This window comes from Homo sapiens, chromosome 9 (genome assembly GCF_000001405.40).
Source record: "Homo sapiens chromosome 9, GRCh38.p14 Primary Assembly".
NCBI classification, from domain to species: Eukaryota; Metazoa; Chordata; class Mammalia; order Primates; family Hominidae; genus Homo; species Homo sapiens.
The window spans coordinates 62852489-62872648 of record NC_000009.12 but is presented as its reverse complement, the minus strand read 5'-3'; the positions used below and the strand labels follow the sequence as shown (position 1 = coordinate 62872648).

General features: G+C 39.6%; 1 long non-coding RNA gene and 2 pseudogenes across 2 annotated transcripts in view, besides 1 other annotated feature; 2 read left to right on the top strand and 1 right to left on the bottom strand.

Annotated features, from left to right (window-relative positions):
• LERFS (lncRNA negative regulator of fibroblast-like synoviocyte migration, SYNCRIP interacting) overlaps positions 1–14793 on the top strand; it is a 40232-nt gene extending 25439 nt beyond the window's left edge. Inside the window, exons 2-6 of one of the 2 annotated variants that reach the window (NR_122076.1) lie at positions 3345–3459; positions 4773–4952; positions 5539–5682; positions 13456–13577; positions 14466–14793. This is a non-coding gene — a long non-coding RNA (lncRNA negative regulator of fibroblast-like synoviocyte migration, SYNCRIP interacting). Of the gene's footprint in view, positions 1–3344; positions 3460–4415; positions 4661–4772; positions 4953–5538; positions 5683–13455; positions 13578–14465 lie in introns of those variants that run through there. The other variant, NR_122077.1, reaches the window with a different exon arrangement.
• Positions 10455–11801, top strand: ADGRF5P1 (adhesion G protein-coupled receptor F5 pseudogene 1; annotated as a pseudogene).
• Positions 13967–15440, bottom strand: MYO5BP2 (myosin VB pseudogene 2; annotated as a pseudogene).
• Positions 19523–20022: an enhancer, noted in NCBI's record as "H3K4me1 hESC enhancer chr9:66508451-66508950 (GRCh37/hg19 assembly coordinates)". NCBI's record gives its function as "activates a minimal SCP1, AML or CMV promoter by ChIP-STARR-seq in naive H9 embryonic stem cells {active_cell/tissue: H9 hESC(naive)}" and the evidence as "EXISTENCE:reporter gene assay evidence [ECO:0000049][PMID:30033119]".

Below are 20160 nucleotides of genomic sequence, written 5' to 3'. Positions count from 1 at the left end.
TGGAATGATTTCATCTTATATTCTCAGAGAATGATGCATTTTATGTCAAATAAGTACAGGAGAAAGAAAATGATTTTATAAATATTACTAACACTATCCTAACAAATGGAAGAGATATGATAAACTTTACATTCTAATTTGAAATTTATGAAAATCATACACAAAACACTGTTTTGAGTAGACTCTATCTCTTATTTTTGTGAGGCCAAAATATCTAATACATTTATTTTATGAAATAAATGCTTAGGAATTATTTTATTTGTTGTTGTAAGGAATTATGCCTACTGCAATGGACAAAGCACTGTGATTAGTGTTGGGTCTTTTGGCTCAGACTAACCTAAAGGGAACAAAGAGGAACAACCAGATGGTGAAACGGAGGTTCCTCCATCCTCTGATAGCTTGACTACCATTGCATTTTAGTAAATCCTTAAATCATATACTATGATTATGACAACTTAATCTTTTTTGTAATTGATGATGGAGTTGATAAGTTCTTGTATACCCTTGCTTGTTAGATCAGCAGAGACACAGGACAGACATCAGGAAGAATTTTCTAGCTGGGGTGTTGTTAATCACTTGCCCACAGTAAGAAAAAGCCTGCAAAGCAGCCTTTTTTTTGATGAGAGTTAAGGCAATAAAACTATTAATAGTCTAACCCAGTAACAGCTGAATTGGCCAGATATCCTTTAAGGCTTCTCAGAAGCCTCCTCAGTACATGAACTTGAGCTCTTACGTAATTTTCTCATTCATAGTGACTGCATTGTGCTTGCAATCTCATGTCCTATTATTTAAGGTACTTAGTGCATCACTGCATACATGACCTTAGGTCTTGCCATTATTTGTAATCCCTGTACTGGAAGAAGAGAGACATTCTGACTGGCATTAACTCAACATTTTCTGTGATGAACTATTACATAGGGCTCAGAATGCATTTTTGTCTGCTATACAGAAATAATCTGTTAATTCTATGTGATAAACAATACTGCTAAAAATCTCAGAATTAATCAAACTTACCATCAATTAATTTCAAATGTTCACTAATTATTAGTGAGAGAGGAGTGTTGAATTATCTAAACATAATTGTACATTTGTTATTTCTTCTTTTAGTTCAATTAGTGTTTGCCTTTTGCCAAATTTGGGTAATTTTTCCTGTTAGGTTTTCAAAATTCTTTCAGCACTGCGCTCCTTTTCCTTTTCTCCTCTGAGACTCAGATGACATGTGTGTTGGAACTTTAGTTATTGTTCCTCAAGTCTCTAAGGCTCTAATCAAGACTTTTTCATCGTTCTTTCTCTCTATTGTTCAGATTAGATAATTTCTGTTGATTTATATTCACGATAACAGATTCTTACCTCTTTAGTTTTATTGTAATAAAAAGCTTACTTAGAATTTTGTATGTCAGTTATTGGATTTTTTGGTCCTAATATATTCATTTTGTTCCTTTTTACATCGTCTATTTATTTTCTGATACTTCTAGTTTTCCATTGGTATAAAAGTGTTTGCGGCCGGGCATGGTGGCTCACGCTTGTAATCCCAGCACTTTGGGAGGCCGAGGCGGGCAGATCATGAGGTCAAGAGATCGAGACCATCTGGCCAACATGGTGAAACCCCTTCTCTACTAAAAATACAAAAATTAGCTGGACGTGGTGGTGCATGCCTGTAGTTCCAGCTCATTGGTAGGCTGAGACAGGAGAATCGTTTTAACCCGGGAGGCCGAGGTTGCAGTGAACCTAGATTGCACCACTGCACTGTAGCCTGGGTGACAGAGTGAGACTCCGTCCCAAGAGAGAAAAAAAGTGTTTGCGACCACTTGTTGGAACATTTTTATAAAAGCTGCTTTAAAATCCTTGTGATGTAATTCAAATTTCTGTTTCTTCTCAGTATTGGTAGCTACTTAGTACTGATTGTCTTTTCTCATGTGGGGTGCAGTTTATCTGTTTTTTTTGTAATTTTGGATTGCGTCATGGACATTAAGTTTTGAGGCCTGGGTCTTCATAAAATATTAGGCGGATGGATGCTATTTTTGTTTTAGAAGCAATTGACCTTGTCATATTCAAGCTGCAAGTTCCAATCTCTGTTTTGTGAGCTGTGGTTCCAATAATCGAGTTTTCAAAACCTTTCCAGTTTGCTTCAGATATGTCCTGGTGGTCAGTGTGGAACTCGGATAATAATCTGCTAGCTTCGTTCTCAAAATCTTTGGTTAACTAATTAGGAGCAGATCCACACACATGCAGCTTGGGGATGCGCTCAGTTCATTAAAAACTTTATGGTGTCACTTTCTCATACTCCTTCCTCTCCACAATGTCTCCAATATTTTCTGTTTTCCTGGAGCTCCTCTTTTCTGTTTTCTGGCCAGAATGCTGGGTCTTTGATTACGGTACTCTGCTACAGTGTTTCATGGCTGCACCCATGTTTGGAGCCAGGTGACAGGTGGCAAAATGAGAAAAGACTTTAAAAAGTTTGCATCACCCTCTTGGGATCACTACTGCACCAACTGGAGAGGAAGATGCCCTGGCCTCAGGGTTTTGTTTCTCCTAGGCACCACCTACTGCTGCCAACACAGGAATTCTTGGGGGCCAGATCACAAGGGCTCAGAGAAAACAAACAACAACAAAACGGAGGGATTTCTGCATTCCCTCAGAGTAATAAGAGTCCTCTTTCCTGCCCAAACTTGTAGGGCTTATCCTTGATCTCAGCAATTGCTGAGAAACTGTTTCACCCTTTACATGGAAAACAGACTTTCTTGTTTGCCTCATCCCTACCAGTGTCTTTCTGCCTACACCTAAGTTCAATTACCAGCTGCCCTTTATCATTGAACTTAATGCTTTCTTCTCATAGTAGAATTAAGAGGAAAGTAAAATATTTTTTGTACCTATATCTTTATTATATTTAGACAAATCACAGAGTGAGAGAGTAGGGGTTTCAAGAACAATAGGAGAGAGACAGGGAAGAGAGAAAGAACTGCTTGTGGAAATACAGAATATCCCACATTTTCAATGTGGAAAGTGTATGAGGGTCTGAAAGAAAATACTCAGTTTTTTTTGTCCTGTAAGAGGCAGCATTGACAAATGTGTACCAGAGTTTGGGTACATTTGAGCCAGTTCTTCAGAATCGTGGGGTGGGAAATAGAACAAAATTATTTACACCTAATTCTAGGCAGATAAGTGTGCTTCAAGGAAAGGCAAGGGCCTGGCTAGATTCTAGATGTTTTTAAACTGGAGGCCAGAGACAGCTTTAGGGAGTCTATATACAGGCACAAATTTATTTCTTTTATATTCTTCTTGCTCTTTGAAAACGGTCTTTATGCAAATACACACTATATAACCAAAGTTTCTCTTTGTTCCAGGCAGGAGTAGGGCTGATTGGAGCCATTGTACAGTGTCGGGAACATACCAGGACACTGAGAATAGTGTCATGTCATAAGGACCCAGAGCAGATGGACCCTGCTGTGATGCACAAAGGTGAGGGTGCAGCTGCCCAGGACACACTCATGCATGTTTGTGTGGACCATGGAAGATGGCAGGGGAAGAGCTGTCAGGTTGTTGGGGCAGAGGGTGCGCATGAGTACTCGCCTGTAAGTCATGTTGTAGAATCACCTCTCACAGCCGCTGTATCTTCCCACCAGCATCACCAGATAACTCCTTTATCATCACTTCAGTAATGCTTGATTTTGGCTGACTTTTTTATGTTTACCAGTTCAGATAAAGAGAATTGCACTCTCATCATTGCTATAATGTACATTTGACTACTAATGAGTCTGAGAATCTTCAGATACATTTGTTAGTCATTAATGTTTTCTCTCTCTCTTTTTTCTGTTTTTTGAGATGGAATCTTGCTCTGTTGCCCACGCTGGAGTGCAGTGGCATGATCTCAGCTCACTGCAACCTCTGCCTCCTGGGTTCAAGTGATTCTCCTGCCTCAGCCTCCTGAGTAGCTGGGGCTACAGATGCCCCCCCACCACACCCAGCTAATTTTTGTATTTTTAGTAGAGACGGGGTTTCACCATGTTGGCCAGGCTGGTCTCAAACTCCTGACCTCGTGATCCGTCTGCCTCAGACTCCCAGAGTGCTGGGATTACAGGGGTGAGCCACCGCGCCCGGCCATGTTTTCTCTTCTTAATCTGTTTGTACTTTCATTTACTTTTTCTTTCCTCTATAATAAGAGGTTTTTATTTTGGATATCAATCTTTATATCTTCAATAATGTTATAAATATCTTTTTGTTCCCACTAGCTTTTCTTACAAACTTATTCCTAGTGTCTTGTTGCACAGAAATTTTATTTTATTATGGTCAACTTTGTCAGCCTTTATCTTTATAATTTGTATGGGGTTGTTTTCTTGTTTGCTTTTGATTTGTATAAAAGTGATTTTTTACCCTAAAGTCAAAAGTTAAAATTTAATGTTTTCTTCCTATTTCAGAGGACCACGCAAGATATGATAAAGATCTACATCACTGAATTTTGGTTCCATTTTTGTATCTCAGCTTCCAGGAAATAAAAAAGAATTCTAACATTCATACTTTCAGTATTTTATGTGAGAGGTTTTGTTGTCAAAATCAAGTCTGAGAGCAATGTTTGTTGGGGCCTTTAATTGGAGTCACCAAGCGATAAAGGGGACATTGTCCTCAACAATAACCCTATAATAAACACGTTTTGGACAATAAATATATGACAATTTCTTAAAAGCAATTTCTTGGGCAATCAAGACAGTATGGCTTGAGTATGGAGTTATACGATGGTTTGGATTAATCCAGTATTAAATCTTTGGTTATTACAGAAATCAATGGAGCCTATTCTTCCAAATAATCCTTAAATATTACTTATCTCAACTGAGATTTTGGTGAAAATTTAGCTTTAGAGCTTTTATTGACCTGCCAATGACCTGAAGTTAAGATTATTCTTTTCTACTGAATGAAGACAAACTACCTTATAAAAATTAACCCAGAAGGCTGTAGAGGTGATTTGTTTTCTTTATTTCTGATGACAGTTAAATAGCTTGACTAAAACTCTTGGTTCCCTAAATGGCTTTTCTGCTTTTGGATGGTGGTAGCCTGGGGAACGTAAGGAAAGCAGATATCTCCCAAAACTGGGAATAAAATACATGATTTATTCCAATACATTCCAGGAAACCCCATTTCCAAGCTCTTTAAACTAAAACATTACTGTAAACATGTTGGCCTAAAATTTTTCAGAGCTAGAAATGTTCAGAGCAATAGCTGCCAGTTGCCACCATGATGTTAGGAAATTCTCATTAATTCTTACATGACAGTTGTCTACATAGAGATGAAACACTTGACTAAATTGTCAGCAGCATAATTGTATCCATACAGACAGATAGAACAAATCCAATGCTGTGATGTAGTTTAAATGTGCACATGTTAACTGATTAGAGAGCTAGAAAATGGAGGGTATTTTTAGCAGCATATGATAAATATATTTCTGACTGTTGAATATTGTTTAACTGCTTTGTTCTAGTTACTGGGGATTATATAGTAGGAAGTAATACAGACAGATGTCACGTCCTGATGGGCCTTGTATTTCAGGGATGAAATGGGATTTTGTTGGCACCAAGACCTGATTGCTTTGCCAGTTACCCTCACCCCTGGCTCACAAGGAAAGTGTATGGAGGAGATTCTCGAGGAACCACATGAGTTTTAATATCATAAGCTTCTGCCCTGAATTGAAAGGTAATTTTTTGTTGAGGAAGGCTGAGCCACACTTATCCACAATGCCTCCTTTGGCATAGGCCCTAGATAACCCAAAGTGTGTTCTCTCAAACAGATGGAGAAAATTAGAGGATAGAAAATATCAAGATTGTTACTGAGGATGCTGCCAGCTGAACCACCATTTATGTTTTTCATAGAACAAAACTTCAAGGAGTTTAAGTAGTCAGAGTGTGGCCAGCTTTTCCTTGGAAGTATTTATGCAAGGAAGATGTTTTATATTCTGGAAGAGGGCATATGTGAAGGGCATTTCAGAATGATGTAAGGTGTATGCACAGGTCATGTGATGGAGTGGTCTGGGGTAGCAGGACATGTGACAGGCCTCGAATTTCGCCACTGCAAGCATGGAGCCCATATCCACAACATCTTAAAGCGCAGAAGCTGGGCTGTGGGGTAGAGTAGTTCAAGCCAAAAATCACAACTTGGTTTGCAAAATGAGAGGGAAGAGAAACTTCCCTAAAGAGAATTAGAAAAAGTAAAACTCATGAGGTAAAGCTGTATAGATTTGAAATAATAAATCCTTACAATTTTTACTTCCACTGGTCGATGGCAGGGTTTCTTAATCTTAGCAGTATTAACCTTTTGAGTCAGATAATTTTTAATTCTTCTTGCAGAGGAGAAGAGAGGGTACAGGCTGTTCTGTGCACGATGGCATGCTTAGCAGCATCCATAGCCTGTACTCATTAAGTGCCAGTAGCAACCCCCAGTTTTGACAACCCAAGATGTCTCCAGACATTTTCTTCCCTGGAGGCAAAAACAGCCCTGGTTGGGAAGCACTGGTTTATGAATAGAAATAAAACTGTAGTGTTCTCCAGCCAAACAAACAACAACAAAATTAAACAGCATATATTCAATTTATTGCCTTCCTTGGCTAGTACATAACTCACTACAATTAAAGCTTCCCATTAGAAATTCTTCCTGGGCTTAAAAAAAAAAAAGCTATCAAGAGAAGCAATTTAGTAAGCTGGGTTTTAGGAATATGCTCTTAATTTTGCCTAAAATGTGGCATGCAAGGGGAGAGTTATGTAATCATTTTAAGTAAATAAGTTTCATTAAAAAAAAAACCCTTAAAATGGTTTGATTCAAAAATACTGAAATCTCTTATCATAGAAGCATAAATCTGAATAGTTTGGTTATTTAAATATAACTTACTGTGAAATCATCAAGGAACATAGCTAATTGAACCTATCATTCTAGCCTACATCATCCTGTGCATTTCACAAAATCCTAATGAAAACTACACGAAGCTCAAAGTATAGATAAACATATCAGTGTTGACAACCGTGAAACCACGCTATCCAAAGGCTACGAGCTCTGAGGAATTCCTGTTAGCTACAGCACATGTAGGATCAATGAAGGAAGAAAATGAAGCCTCCTGGGAGACAAAATTATGCCAGGACAAAGCTGAAGAAGAGCAACACCTGTCGGAAATGTCCTAAGATAAATTTTGAAAGGTGCCAGGCTTGGAGGTGGGGCAGGCACCGCCGGAAGAGACACCTTCCCTTTGGGGCTTTCTTTGCCTGTGACAAGAACAGCACTTGATGCCCTTAGAATAGTTCCTGGAACATCTGAATAAATATCTGTGGAATGGCTGAATCAGGGGTGAGGACTGGTGTTCAGGTGGGGCCCCCTCAATAGTATGACCACAACGGAATCTCCACCTGGCAGGGAGTCATCCTGATGCTACAGGAGCTCGTCTCTGCATTAGGAGGTCCTGTTCTACTTCCAGTTGCAAATATTACATATATTTATGTATGTGAGTTCTTTTATATATATATACACGTATATACGTGTATATACGTATATATACACGTATATAATGTATATATACATATAGATATATACATATATATACACACACACATATATGTATATATATACACACACACACACACAGCCGCCCAACAAGTTCCCTTTGCCCGCTGCCTAGACAGAGCTGATTTATCAAGACAGGGGAATTGCAATAGAGAAAGAGTCATTCTTGCAGAGCCAGCTGGGCGGGAGACTGGAGTTTTATTATTGCTCAAATCAGTCTCCCCGAGCGTTTGGGGATCAGAGATTTTAAGGATAATATGGCATGGTCTCAGGAAGTGGGGAGTGCTGATTGGTCAGGTTGGAGATGGAATCACAGGGGGATCAAAGTGAGGTTTTCTTGCTACCTTCTGTTCCTGGGTGGGATGGCAGAACTGGTTGAGCCACATTACTGGTTTGGGTGGTGTTGATGGCAGCGGCCCATCTGGAGAGGCTGCTGCCAAGATGCCGGCTGCAGCAGGGGAGGCGCCGCAGGGCCGCGCGCTTTGTGGAGCCGGCGGGAGCTGAGAACAGGAAGGAAAGAGCCCTGCCGGCTTCTGAGCTGGTGGGGAGGGGACCCTGCAGTCCCAGGCGCAAGGGCAGCTGCCCAGCCATGGCTTCAGACCCGGGCATCCGTGTCCTCTCCGGCGGGGGTTGGGGGCGGTGGCGGGGGGTTGGGGGAGGGCACGGGAAGCCTATATTAGACCAAATATCATGTTATATTTTGTGTATTCATTTTTTAACCCATAACAATCCAAACTAGATTTTCTTACTGATTTATTTTGCTTGTTTATTAATCTCATTATGTAGAATATATTTTGGAAGTTGCCTTAATAGTTTTTAGAGGAAAACAGGATAAAAATAAATAAATATGTAAAAGATGCCAGTTTTCCTTATATGTATATGTAATGGTGTAAAAAAGCACTAAATAAAATAATCCGTGTAGTGGCTAGGGAAATAATTAAAGTTAGGTTTTTGGTCCAGGCGAGGTGGCTCACGCCTGTAATCCCAACACTGTGGGAGGCTGTGGCTGGTGATCACTTGAGGTCACGAGTTCGAGACCAGCCTGGCCAACATAGTGAAACCCTGTCTCTACTAAAAGTACCAGAATTATCCAGGTGTGATGGCGGGCGCCTGCAATCCCAGCTACTCTGGAGGCTGAGGCAGGAGAATCTCTTGAACCTGGGAGGCAGAGGTTGCAGTGAGGAGAGATGGCACCATTGCACTCCAGCCTGGGTGACAGAACGAGACTGTGTCTCAAATACAATAAATAAATAAATAAATAAATAAATAAATAAATAAATAATCAGGTTTTTGAAGGAATCGAGATTATAAAAGTATATTTCAGAAAAGGGTGCAGCAAATATCTTTTGAAAATTCAAGGGCAGAGGTATTTCTGGCAGAAGTAATGATATGAGACATTTACTACAATATTGTTTCTACTTATGCTTCTGTAGTTTACTAAAGACAATTATTGTTTCATTGGAAATGTAATTAATGAACGTGACCCTCAGTACCATAGATTGGGAGCCACAAGGCTGGCCCTGGGCTGACTGTGGTTGGACTCACTCAGGAACCGGCTTGGCTGGTCTCCTTTAAATAACTGCTGCCAGCTACTGCCAGGAGTTGCAGGATGGGAGGAAGGGAAGCTGACTGGCCCAGCTGATCCATAAACAGCCCTTTAATAGCACTGCAGTTGCTTGTGATGAGTGCCTGGGATTCTAGGTTTGTTTTAATAGCACTGCAGTTGCTTGTGAGGCGCGTGCCTGGGATTCTAGATTTGTTTTAATCTTTCTTTTGTGAGGGGTTTCCATCTCACCCTCAACTCTGTTCTTTGCATCGTTCGGGCTACACATCCCAATGTGTTCCCATCTCCTCCTGCCCTCTAGGGTGCTGAAGGTTTTGCATCCTGTTCTCAGCATGGACACATATCTTCTCTTTTGTCCATCACATGGTCATTTCAATAGGATGTTGGTAGAATAGGAAGAAGATGCACGTGTGTTTAACTAATCATTTTTAATTAGAAAGCCAGAGGTTGAATTGAAAAACAACTCATATTGAAACTGCATTTGCAATAATTATAACAGTGAGGAAATTATGGCAGTGGGGAAGATCTAATATAGCCAACTTCCCTCTTATATTTTACCTTCATGTTGCCTTAATTATTACTGGGCTTAGGATGGGCTAGCTTTGGGAGACATGTAGTTTACAGTTTAAATAATAATAGTCCTTCTCCAAAACCCAACCACCTTTATAAAGCTAATGAGAGACCACCAGGCTGGGAGGAGAGGAGCCTGAATTCTGCAAAGGTGTAGACATAAAAGACTGCCAGCCATTATTCCAGAGGTCACGAGATATGCACACCTGTAAGTCACCAGTCAGCAGGAGCTATAGTCTTGGAAGGCCAGAGCTATAACCAGACATGTGCTCAGGAGAAAGGGGACTGCAGCAGGGTGAAGAGTGGGCAGCAGGAAAAATGTATCTCCACCTCCCAGGTTCAAGCGATTCTCCTGCTTCAGCCTCCCAAGTAGCTGGGATTACAGGAGTTCAAGGAGGTCAGGAGTTCAAGACCAGCCTGGCCAACATGATGAAACCCCACCTCTACTAAAAATACAGGCTTAAGATTTAAAATAAAATAAATAAAATAAAATAGTAAACATCCCTGCCAGCCTGCTGAATTGACCTTAGAGAGTAGGGTGTGTAGTGGGTGTGACTCTCACTGTCACCATTGCTAAGTGCTTACTGACATCTTTCAGTCTTGGGGACCCATCCTCTGCTAAACTCTGCCATAAGAAGGTCATACATCCCCACTGCCTGTGATGTCTCAGTTTTGTTTTCTCGTTTCCTCTTACCTTTATGCAATCAGTTTCTAGGAAGATGTTGTTTTTTTCTTTTTTATGATTGAAAGAATTTGGTTAGTTTGACCCCATACCATTTCACTTTCAGCACGTGCTCTCTACGGTTAATGTCATCCTTGGGAAGCCCGTCTTGAACACCTGGAAGGTTTTACAACAGCAACGGACCAAGCAGAGTTCACAGCTACTACATTCAGTGGGAAGGTTTTCCCAAGCACTACAATTAGGAGATAGCCCTCCTTTGTCCTTCTCCCAAACTAATGTGCAGATGAGCAGCATGGTAATCATGTCCAGCCACCCAAAAACCTATCAACAGAGGTTTGTTTTCCCATACTTTGACCTCTGGGGCAATGTGGTCATTGACAAGAGCTATCTAGAAAACTTGCCATCAGATTCACCTATTGTCACCATGGCTTTCCCAACTCTCCAAGCCATCCTTGCCCAGGGTATCCAGGAAAATAATTTTGCAGAGAGCTTAGTGATGACGACCACTGTCAGCCATAATGTGACTATGCCATTCAGCATTTCAATGACTTTTAAGAACAACAGCCCTTCAGGCGGCGAAACAACATGTGTCTTCTGGAACTTCAGGCTTTCCAACAACACGGGGGGTGGGACAGCAGTGGGTGCTATGTTGAAGAAGGTGATGGGGACAATGTCACCTGTATCTGTGACTACCTAACATCATTCTCCATTCTCAAGTCCCCTGACTCCCCAGATCCTGGTTCTCTCCTGGGAATACTACTGGATATTATTTCTTATGTTGGGGTGGGCTTTTCCATCTTCAGCTTGGCGGCCTGTCTAGTTGTGGAAACTGTGGTGTGGAAATCAGTGACCAAGAACCAGACTTCCTATATGCGCCACATCTGCATAGTGAATGTTGCTGCCTCCCTTCTGGTCGCCAACACCTGGTTCATTGTGGTCGCTGCCATCCAGGACAATCACTACATACTCTGCAAGACAGCCTGTGTGGCTGCCACCTTCTTCATCCACTTCTTCTACCTCAGCATCTTCTTCTGGATGCTGACACTGGGCCTCATGTTGTTCTATCGCCTGGTTTTCATTCTGCACGAAACAAGCAGGTCCACTCAGAAAGCCATTGCCTTCTGTCTTGGCTACGGCTGCCCTACCTGCCATCTTGGTCATCATGCTGGGAGCCACCCAGCCCTGGGAAGTCTATATGAGGAAGAATGTCTGTTGGCTCAACTGGGAGGACACCAAGGCCCTGCTGGCTTTTGCCATCCCAGCACTGATCATTGTGGTGGTGAACATAACCATCACTATTGTGGTCATCACCAAGATCCTGAGGCCTTCCATTGGAGACAAGCCATGCAAGCAGGAGAAGAGCAGCCTGTTTCAGATCAGCAAGAGCACTGGGGTCCTCACGCCACTCTGGGGCCTCACTTGGGGTTTTGATCTCACCACTGTAGTGACCAAGAGAGATGGAGAGAACGATGGTGTAAGACAGTATATAAGGACAGTAAGCCACTGTATTTGTGGAACCACTGCATGTCAAAACTCCTTAACACTCTAACAAGGCATTTTTGGTCTTTTAAGATTAAGGACAGTCCTTACATAAGGGACTCAGTTTCAAACTAAAGTACATCAAAAAGCAAATTATACTTCACAAACAACTTTAAAGAGGTAGCCACAAACCCAGTTGTTTTAGATTGGCCTTCTAAATGAAGTCAGCACATGGATCCATGTGTGAGTGTCATGGACGTCAGTGATTATGTAACTGTCACTGAAAGAAAAAGGCACAGCTCTGCAGACACCCAAGAGAAGCTGGCATGTTTAATGTGGATGTAGAAGGGATAATGTCCATGGCAAATGATTGGAACACAACTGTCAGCAGCCTCAACACAGGCTAAGACTGGGTTAAGCCCCAGGAGATGCAGAGAATGACTGAGGAAGCTGAGGTCTAAGGGCACAGTACAGAAGGTAGCTTGGAGTGTGCTGTGTTTCCTAGAGCCTTTTAAGTTGGGTGGTTGAGTAAAGGAGGGTGGAGGCAGGCTGTTCTACTTCCAATCCATGGATAAATCTCATTTTCTCAATGTAATACAGAGGCTGTTCTTCTATGATTGGCAAACACTATTTGTTCTTATCATGGAAACAGCATACTGCTATCAAGAAATAGGGAAAAGACAGTAAAAAAAATGTGTGGAAAGAATATGGAATACCATGCAGCCATAAAAAATGATGAGCTCATGTCCTTTGTAGGGACGTGGATGAAGCTGGAAACCATCATTCTCAGCAAACTATTGCAAGGACAAAAAACCAAACGCCGCATGTTCTCACTCATAGGTGGGAATTGAACAATGAGAACACTTGGACACAGGAAGGCGAACATCACACACCAGGGCCTGCTGTGTGGTGGGGGGAGGGGGGAGGGATAGCATTAGGAGATATACCTAATGGAAAAGACGAGTTAGTGGGTGCAGCAAACCAACATGGCACATGTATACATATGCAACAAACCTGCACATTGTGCACATGTACCCTAGAACTTTAAGTATAATAAAAAAGTGTGGAAAGAATAATATGGGTTTCTAACTGAATGCTTGCTTTTGAAGAGCCCAAAAACAAACGAACAAAAAATTCTAAGAGCAGCAAACATCTACGTCTGTTATATTACTGAATTACTCATTTTTAAAATCCTTATTTCATAGGAGAGATATTTACAATTTTGAATTACAACGTTTGAAAAACTTTGAAAATAACCTGAAAGGGGAAAGTTGACCTAAGCCATTTTATTCTCTTAAAAAAACCCCAGACTTTTGTATAATAGTAATCCCTGAACTGAGTATTTTTGAAGGTTTTTCAGATAATCTGATGTGCAAAGTTAGTTTGTTTTACTATTTAGTTGTTTGGAATAGTAGAGCATTATATGAGGCTCTTACTGGAGGCTTAATGGTATTAAGAGATTAAAAGCTTTCACATTGTTTTTTACATCTATAAATAAAACAAGTTGTTATCATTTTGTAATATTTAGCTTATATACATTTTTGTGAGAGTTTTGTGGGACTTGGAAAGTGTATGGACTAGCATCAGACACAAATTATTTTTCCATCTTTCTCACTTGGAATTTCAGATAGCAGCATTTTAATCATCTCTTCCATTAAACCAAGATTACACAAAAGCGTTTGAGGACACTGAGGACTGGGACTTCTAATTTTGCTTCAGAAACCAGTACTCAAAATGTCTGGTTTGGAGGTCAGTTACACTGCTGTCTTTGTATAATCAGCCATTAAAGAATATTTTGGGGACATTTCTCAGAAGTCTCATCCCCATATTTTTGTTCTTAACACATCTCACCACAAACTCTACCACACCTATGGTTTGCAAACTTTGGGAAGTGTCAGTATATGTCATTATCATGGTTATTAGTACTATTATTTGTTAAAAGCCCTTTGAAGGCAATTTATGCGACTTATATATAGTTAGTATTTTAATTTGGACATTCTCCAGTTATATGCAAAGATTAAAACTCGGCAGCTTCATTTTATAGAATTGGCATCTTTTATATGGCTATGGGGACTGCTTGGTGTCTATAAATTATTATGTATATTTGTTGGACTGAAATCAAACTTAAAATCTTCCACATTTCAAGTGTTTTTATTCTGAGCAGTATGTACAAAAAATAACGCCATAGTTGTGTTAATTCTGTATAGTTCAGGCACCCTCCACAGGCTGTCAATCTCTGATTTGATCTACTTTTACCAGATTTAACAGATCCTTGAATTTACTTTACTGTCTATACTTCCTTTTTGCTCACATTGGGAATCAGACTAAACATGCGTCTACTTCATTGAGGAACTCCAGATTGAGACATGCTGGGATTGACTCCATGGTTAGGGAAGATGGATGAAATGGAAACAAAACAGGAAACATTTGCTTGGCATCTAATAGCAGTTGCTGAGGGCCATTCTGCTCTTGTAGTTGTGCCTGGATCATTTGTATAAAGGCCACTGTTACCTGTTCTTCAAATTCATTCAGGGGAGGCTAAAGGTTTAAAATTTTGACAATCTGCTGGGTGCTGAGAGAGGCACACAGGGAGCAGATGGCCTCTGCATCCTCCTGGGTTTTCTTCTTTAATTGCAGGAGCTGGGCTGCTTGGATCAGAGGTTCCATGGTCTGAACTACTCCACTCTGGTGAAGGTTTCTTCCCCAAAGCCACTCCTCAAGCTGACTTATATTGTACCTGAGTTGCATGCCTGTGCTCCAAGAGCAGACGTCCTTCCGCAGGAGCAGGTCATTAAGAGTCACTGCGTTGATCATGTAGAAGAGCTGTTTGAATACCTGCAGGATGATCTCAGGGTCCAAGCCCTGGTCACACATGACTGTATGAAAGGCATTCATCTGGCGGATGATAGCTTCCAGGCGGTATGAGTTATCCCCATCTGCCATGCTGGAGGAGTGCTTCTGGGAGCCAGTGGGCTTCACACCAGATAGACCCTGAATGCTGTCATTTTCCAACATGGCAGAAACTATCATCGGCTGTAACACACCCTCGGCAATTTTAAAGAGCTGCTGGTAGATCTGAATGGAAAGGTCGCTCAGTACCTGACGGTATTCGGTGAGGTCAAAGTTCTTAAGGCAGTGTTCGTTGTGCTTTGCTGTATTCTGAGTCATGAAGCCCTCATCCCCGCTGTACCGCTTCAGACAGTGAAGAAGGTGGCAGGTGTTGGATAACAGGAATGACGTCATCTCAAAGTCATCACTGTGCTTCTTCAGGACTTTCTTAATGCCGTTGGTGGTGGAGGTCATCAGGGAGTGCACCTTGAGATCATCGTTGGTTTGGTCCGCGAGCCGAATGCACATGTAGAGGATGTAGGCGGAGAGACAGGGCACTGTGTCCAACAGCATCTGGGGCTTCAAGTCTGTCACCAGGTTGAGGATGAGGAGGGCCTCGCCCTCTTTGCGGCACTCCAACATGCCCTGGAAATCCTTTTCTTTCCACTGAACTGGGACCTGCCTGTTGAACTCATGGCGCTTCCTCTCACTCTGGGCCAACGCCTGGGCAGCTTCTTCATGTAAATCTTCAGTTGCTTTTAGAGCTTCCTCTCATTCTTTTCCTCTTACTTTATTTTTCACCACAGAGCTTCCTATCAACTAGTATGTTGAATATTTTGCTTATTAACTTTGTTTATTGTCTTCTCCCTCGATTAGAATATTAGCTACTTGAGTACAAGGATTTGAGCCTGTTACATTCACTGCTGAATTTTAGGCTCCTGGAAGATACCCAGCATTCAATAGAGACCACACAATAAATATATGTCAAATAAATGAGTCTGTAAGTTCATCAATTTATTTGCCCCTATGCATTAACTTTTGCCCATATAAATCCAATAACTCTTGTTATATGAAATCAACTGTACTATTTGCTTCATGTAATAGTTTAAAAATACATGTGTGTATATAAATATATACAGAGATCATAGACCTAACTCCATCTATATATGTGTGTATGTGATATATATAAATATATACACACATATATATGACTGACATATATATAAATATATACACACACATATATATGACTGACATATATATAAATATATACACACACATAGATATGACTGATATGTATATCTATCTTGTGTAAGTGGAATCAGGCAGTATTCAAACATACTTTCAATTAGTAATGACTATAGTTTAAATAAGAGAAAGTTTAAAGATTCTGATAGTTTAAATAAGAGAAAGCAAACATCACTACTACTAGTATTTGGGGAAAAAGATTACAAATAGAGATATTATGATAAAAGCATACAATATTTTTTATGTTTGTGCACTTAGATCCATGTTCAAACTTTGGCTCACCTATACATGTATAGCACATTGGAATATGTGCTACAGTATGCCATTTATAAAGGCTGAAAATAATAGTTTATAAACATTATTATTTATTTAGCAACCTCATAAGCTTGGTTTCAAAAATACCTGAATTACATAGCATAATCCCAGTGCTGGAGAACAGAACAGTAGCTGCCAAGGGTTAGGGTTGGCTGGAAGATGTGATTAGTGAGGGATAACGTGAAAACGTGTACTTTGTTTGTGGTGATAGAGCAGTTCTGCATCCAGATAATGGTAATGGTTACATAAATCCACACTTCATAGATCTATACACACACATCACACATACATTCAAACACATCTGTACATGTAAAATCCTTAGAAATATGAATAGGGTCTGAACCTAAGTTAATGGTATGGAAACAATGTCAATTTCCTGATTTTGGCAATGTACTAGGTTAAGTTAGATATAATCATTGGGGAAAGTTGCCTGAAAATAGCATGGTCATTCATTTTACTTCTTTTTTTAACTTCTTATGAGTCAAATTATTTTAAAACAAAAGGTATTAAGCAAAGACAAAAATTTGAAAGTTCAAAAATCAAAGCCCATATGAATTTGGACATATTATTTGATTTCTTTTGTAGACCTTGATTTCTTCACCTGTAAAAATGGAATAATAGTATGATTCCTATCTCATTATTGCCATGCTTAAATCATATCACTTAAGTAGGTGCCTGTATATATATATATATATATACACACACACATATATCTATATATATGACTGACTTTGACTGACTTAGGTCTATGATTTAAGATGTGGAAATTGGAATTTACCAGAACATTTGTGAATTGATTTGTTCTTATGCTTCACCAACTGTCATGGTAAAGGACACCTTAGCCCCAGCTCATAGTATGAAAACACGTAAATGCTTCTATGTGCCCTAAATTTCTCTTGGTTAAGCTTTATACTTTTTTTTTTTGTTTATGACACAGAAATATGATCACAAAGCACATGTGTACCACAATACAAATTTCATGTATTTTGTCTCTGTATTATGTTTTCTTTCCATTTATGTCTTTTCAAGCTAACAATTCCCAATCTCCTAATACAGTGGGCCTTTCAAGCACTTACTTCTTTAGATAGTCATGTTCTTTTAACTAGGATCTCATAGATAAAGTTATCAAAGCATGGAAAAGGATGAAGAACCTTGACTCCTTCCCCTCTCCATCCCCCACTGAATTCAATTCGTCCCAACCTTGTATTTGTTTTATTTTTCTGGAAAAGAAAATATAGTCATCACCCTCAATAAATATACAATCTAGTTAGAGAGATATGACTTCAGAGTAGGATTTCTTAGTTTTGATTTTGATTATCTTCCTTTAGATATTTGGAAAGACCAAAATGCTGTATGCTTATGGACTGCAAACAGTATGAGTGGAAAACAAAAGTAATAAATGTTACTTCTGACTTTATTATAATGTTAGGATTGTTAATAGTTAACAATTACTTACTGAAGGAAGATTTAAATTGAATATTTCTAAATGGGAAAGATTTAAAAAGCAGGTGAGTCCATAAATTTTAGGACCCAGAATCTACTGAGCTAAAAACTCAATGAGAGTTAATTCTCTGTTGGTGTTGTAGCAATTCTTGAGGTTATTTGTGAAGACTCACATGAGAGCTAAACAATAAAAGAGGACTGAGACCACTTCAAGGGATGGAGAACACCTTCCTTTCTTGTTCAGATGATGCTCTGAGACATTGCTGTTTATTTTGACTGCCTCTTTTTAAACAAACTTCCACTTAGGAACTTAAAAACCACCTGTAAACCAACAGCCACAAAAAAGTGGGGAACTCAGTGTTTAAGCATTATTGTTCACCAGACACGGTACTGGGCACTTACATAAATGGTATGGTTTAAGCATGACAATAATGAGATAGAAATTCTACTATCATTCCATTTTTACAGGTGAAGAAATCAAGGTCTACAAAAGAAATCAAATAATATGTTCAAATTCATAAAGGCTTTGATTTTAGAAATTTTAGATTTTTTGTCTTTGTTTAATACCAATTATTTTTAAATAATTTGACTCACAAGAAGTTAAAAAATAGTAAAAAGAATGACCGTGTTATTTTCAGCCAACTTTCCCCAATAATTATATCTAACTTAACCTAGTATGTTGCCAAAATCAGGAAATTGACATTGTTTCCATACCATTAACTTAGGTTCAGACCCTATTCATATTTCTAAGGATTTTACATGTACTCTTGTGTAGGTGTGTGTGAGTGTATGTGTGATGTGTGTGTATAGATCTATGAAGTGCGGATTTATGTAACCATCACCATAATCTGGATGCAGAACTGCTCTATCACCACAAAGAAAGTACATGTTTTCATGTTATCCCTCACTAATCACATCTTCCAACCAACCCTAACCTTTGGCAGCCACTGATCTGTTCTCCAGCACTAGGATTATGCTTTGTAAATCAGGTATTTTTGAAGCCAAAGCTCATGAGGTTGCCAAATAAATAATAATATTTTATAAAATGTTATTTTCAGTCTTTATAAATGGCATACTGTAGCACATATTCAAATGTGCTATACATGTATAGGTGGCAAAGTTTGAACACGGATCTAAGTGCACAAATATAAAAAATATTGTACACTTTTATCACAATATCCCTATTTGTAATATTTTCCCCCAAAAGCTAGTAGTAGTGATGTTTGCTTTCTCTTATTTAAATTATCCGAATTATAGTCATTACTAATTGAAAGTATGTTTTAATACTGCCTGATTCCACTTACATAAGATATCTAAAATAGTTAAACTCCTAGAAATAGAGTAGAATACTGGTTGCCAGGGTCTGGAAGGAGGGGAAATTGGGGTAGCTGTTCAATGGGTATAAAATTCAGTTATAACAGATGAATAAGTTCTAGAGATCTGCTGTCAACAGAGCACCTATAGTTAACAAGATTCTATTGAGCAGTTAAAAATTTATTAAGAGGATATATCTCATGTTAAACATACTTCATTAACAGAAAAAAAGGGAATATTTTACACATAAAATTACATATATGCCTCAATTTCACATTTCGTTTCACAAATTGTACTGGTGCTTAAAAGGTATTTTTGCATTAAAAAACATCTAACTGAAGGAAAAGTTACAAATGAGTGATCATTCATAAATACAATATAATCCTAGGGACCGCTGTTTTTCCATTTTGAACACCCTCCACAATTAGTCTTAATAATTATGTTGACTGAATGCAAAATAATGATTTCTCAAGAGGCAATAGAAAATAGAGAATAAGTCCATTCTTGAGAAAATATATAATTAGTGAAAGTAATTTTTTCATCCTCTTTTCTTATTTAAATCTCAAGTACTCTCTGCCACTCTGTGCTCTTCTTTCTGGGGTAAAATATGCCAGCTATCCACCGTCAGGGCATTCTCTAACCACTCCTCCCTAGAGATGTCTACAGACTTTTACTCAGCTAGACTGTCTTGTTGCCTGTCTTCATATCAACTTCGCAAGACGTGTGGACCATTCTCTTAGGCCCCTGCATGGCAGTGCATAATATATTCCAAGCTAATTATCTAATGAGGTTCACTAAATTAATCTTTTATTATACCACATAAAATACTCTTAGATCTAACAGTACAAACATTTCCAATTATGGGCCGGGCGCGGTGGTTCACGCCTGTAATCCCAGCACTTTGGGAGGCCGAGCTGGGCGGATCATGAGGTCAGGAGATCGAGGCCATCCTGGGTAACATGGTGAAACCCCGTCTCAACCAAACATACAAAAAATTAGCCAGGTGCGGTGGCGGGCGCCTGTAGTCTCAGCTACTCACAAGGCTGAGGCAGGAGAATGGCGTGAACCCAGGAGGCGGAGCTTGCGGTGCGCCCAGATTGCGCCACTGCACTCCAACCTGGGCGACAGAGGGAAACTCTGTCTCAAAAAAAAGAAGAAAATTCCAATTACATCACTCCTTTGA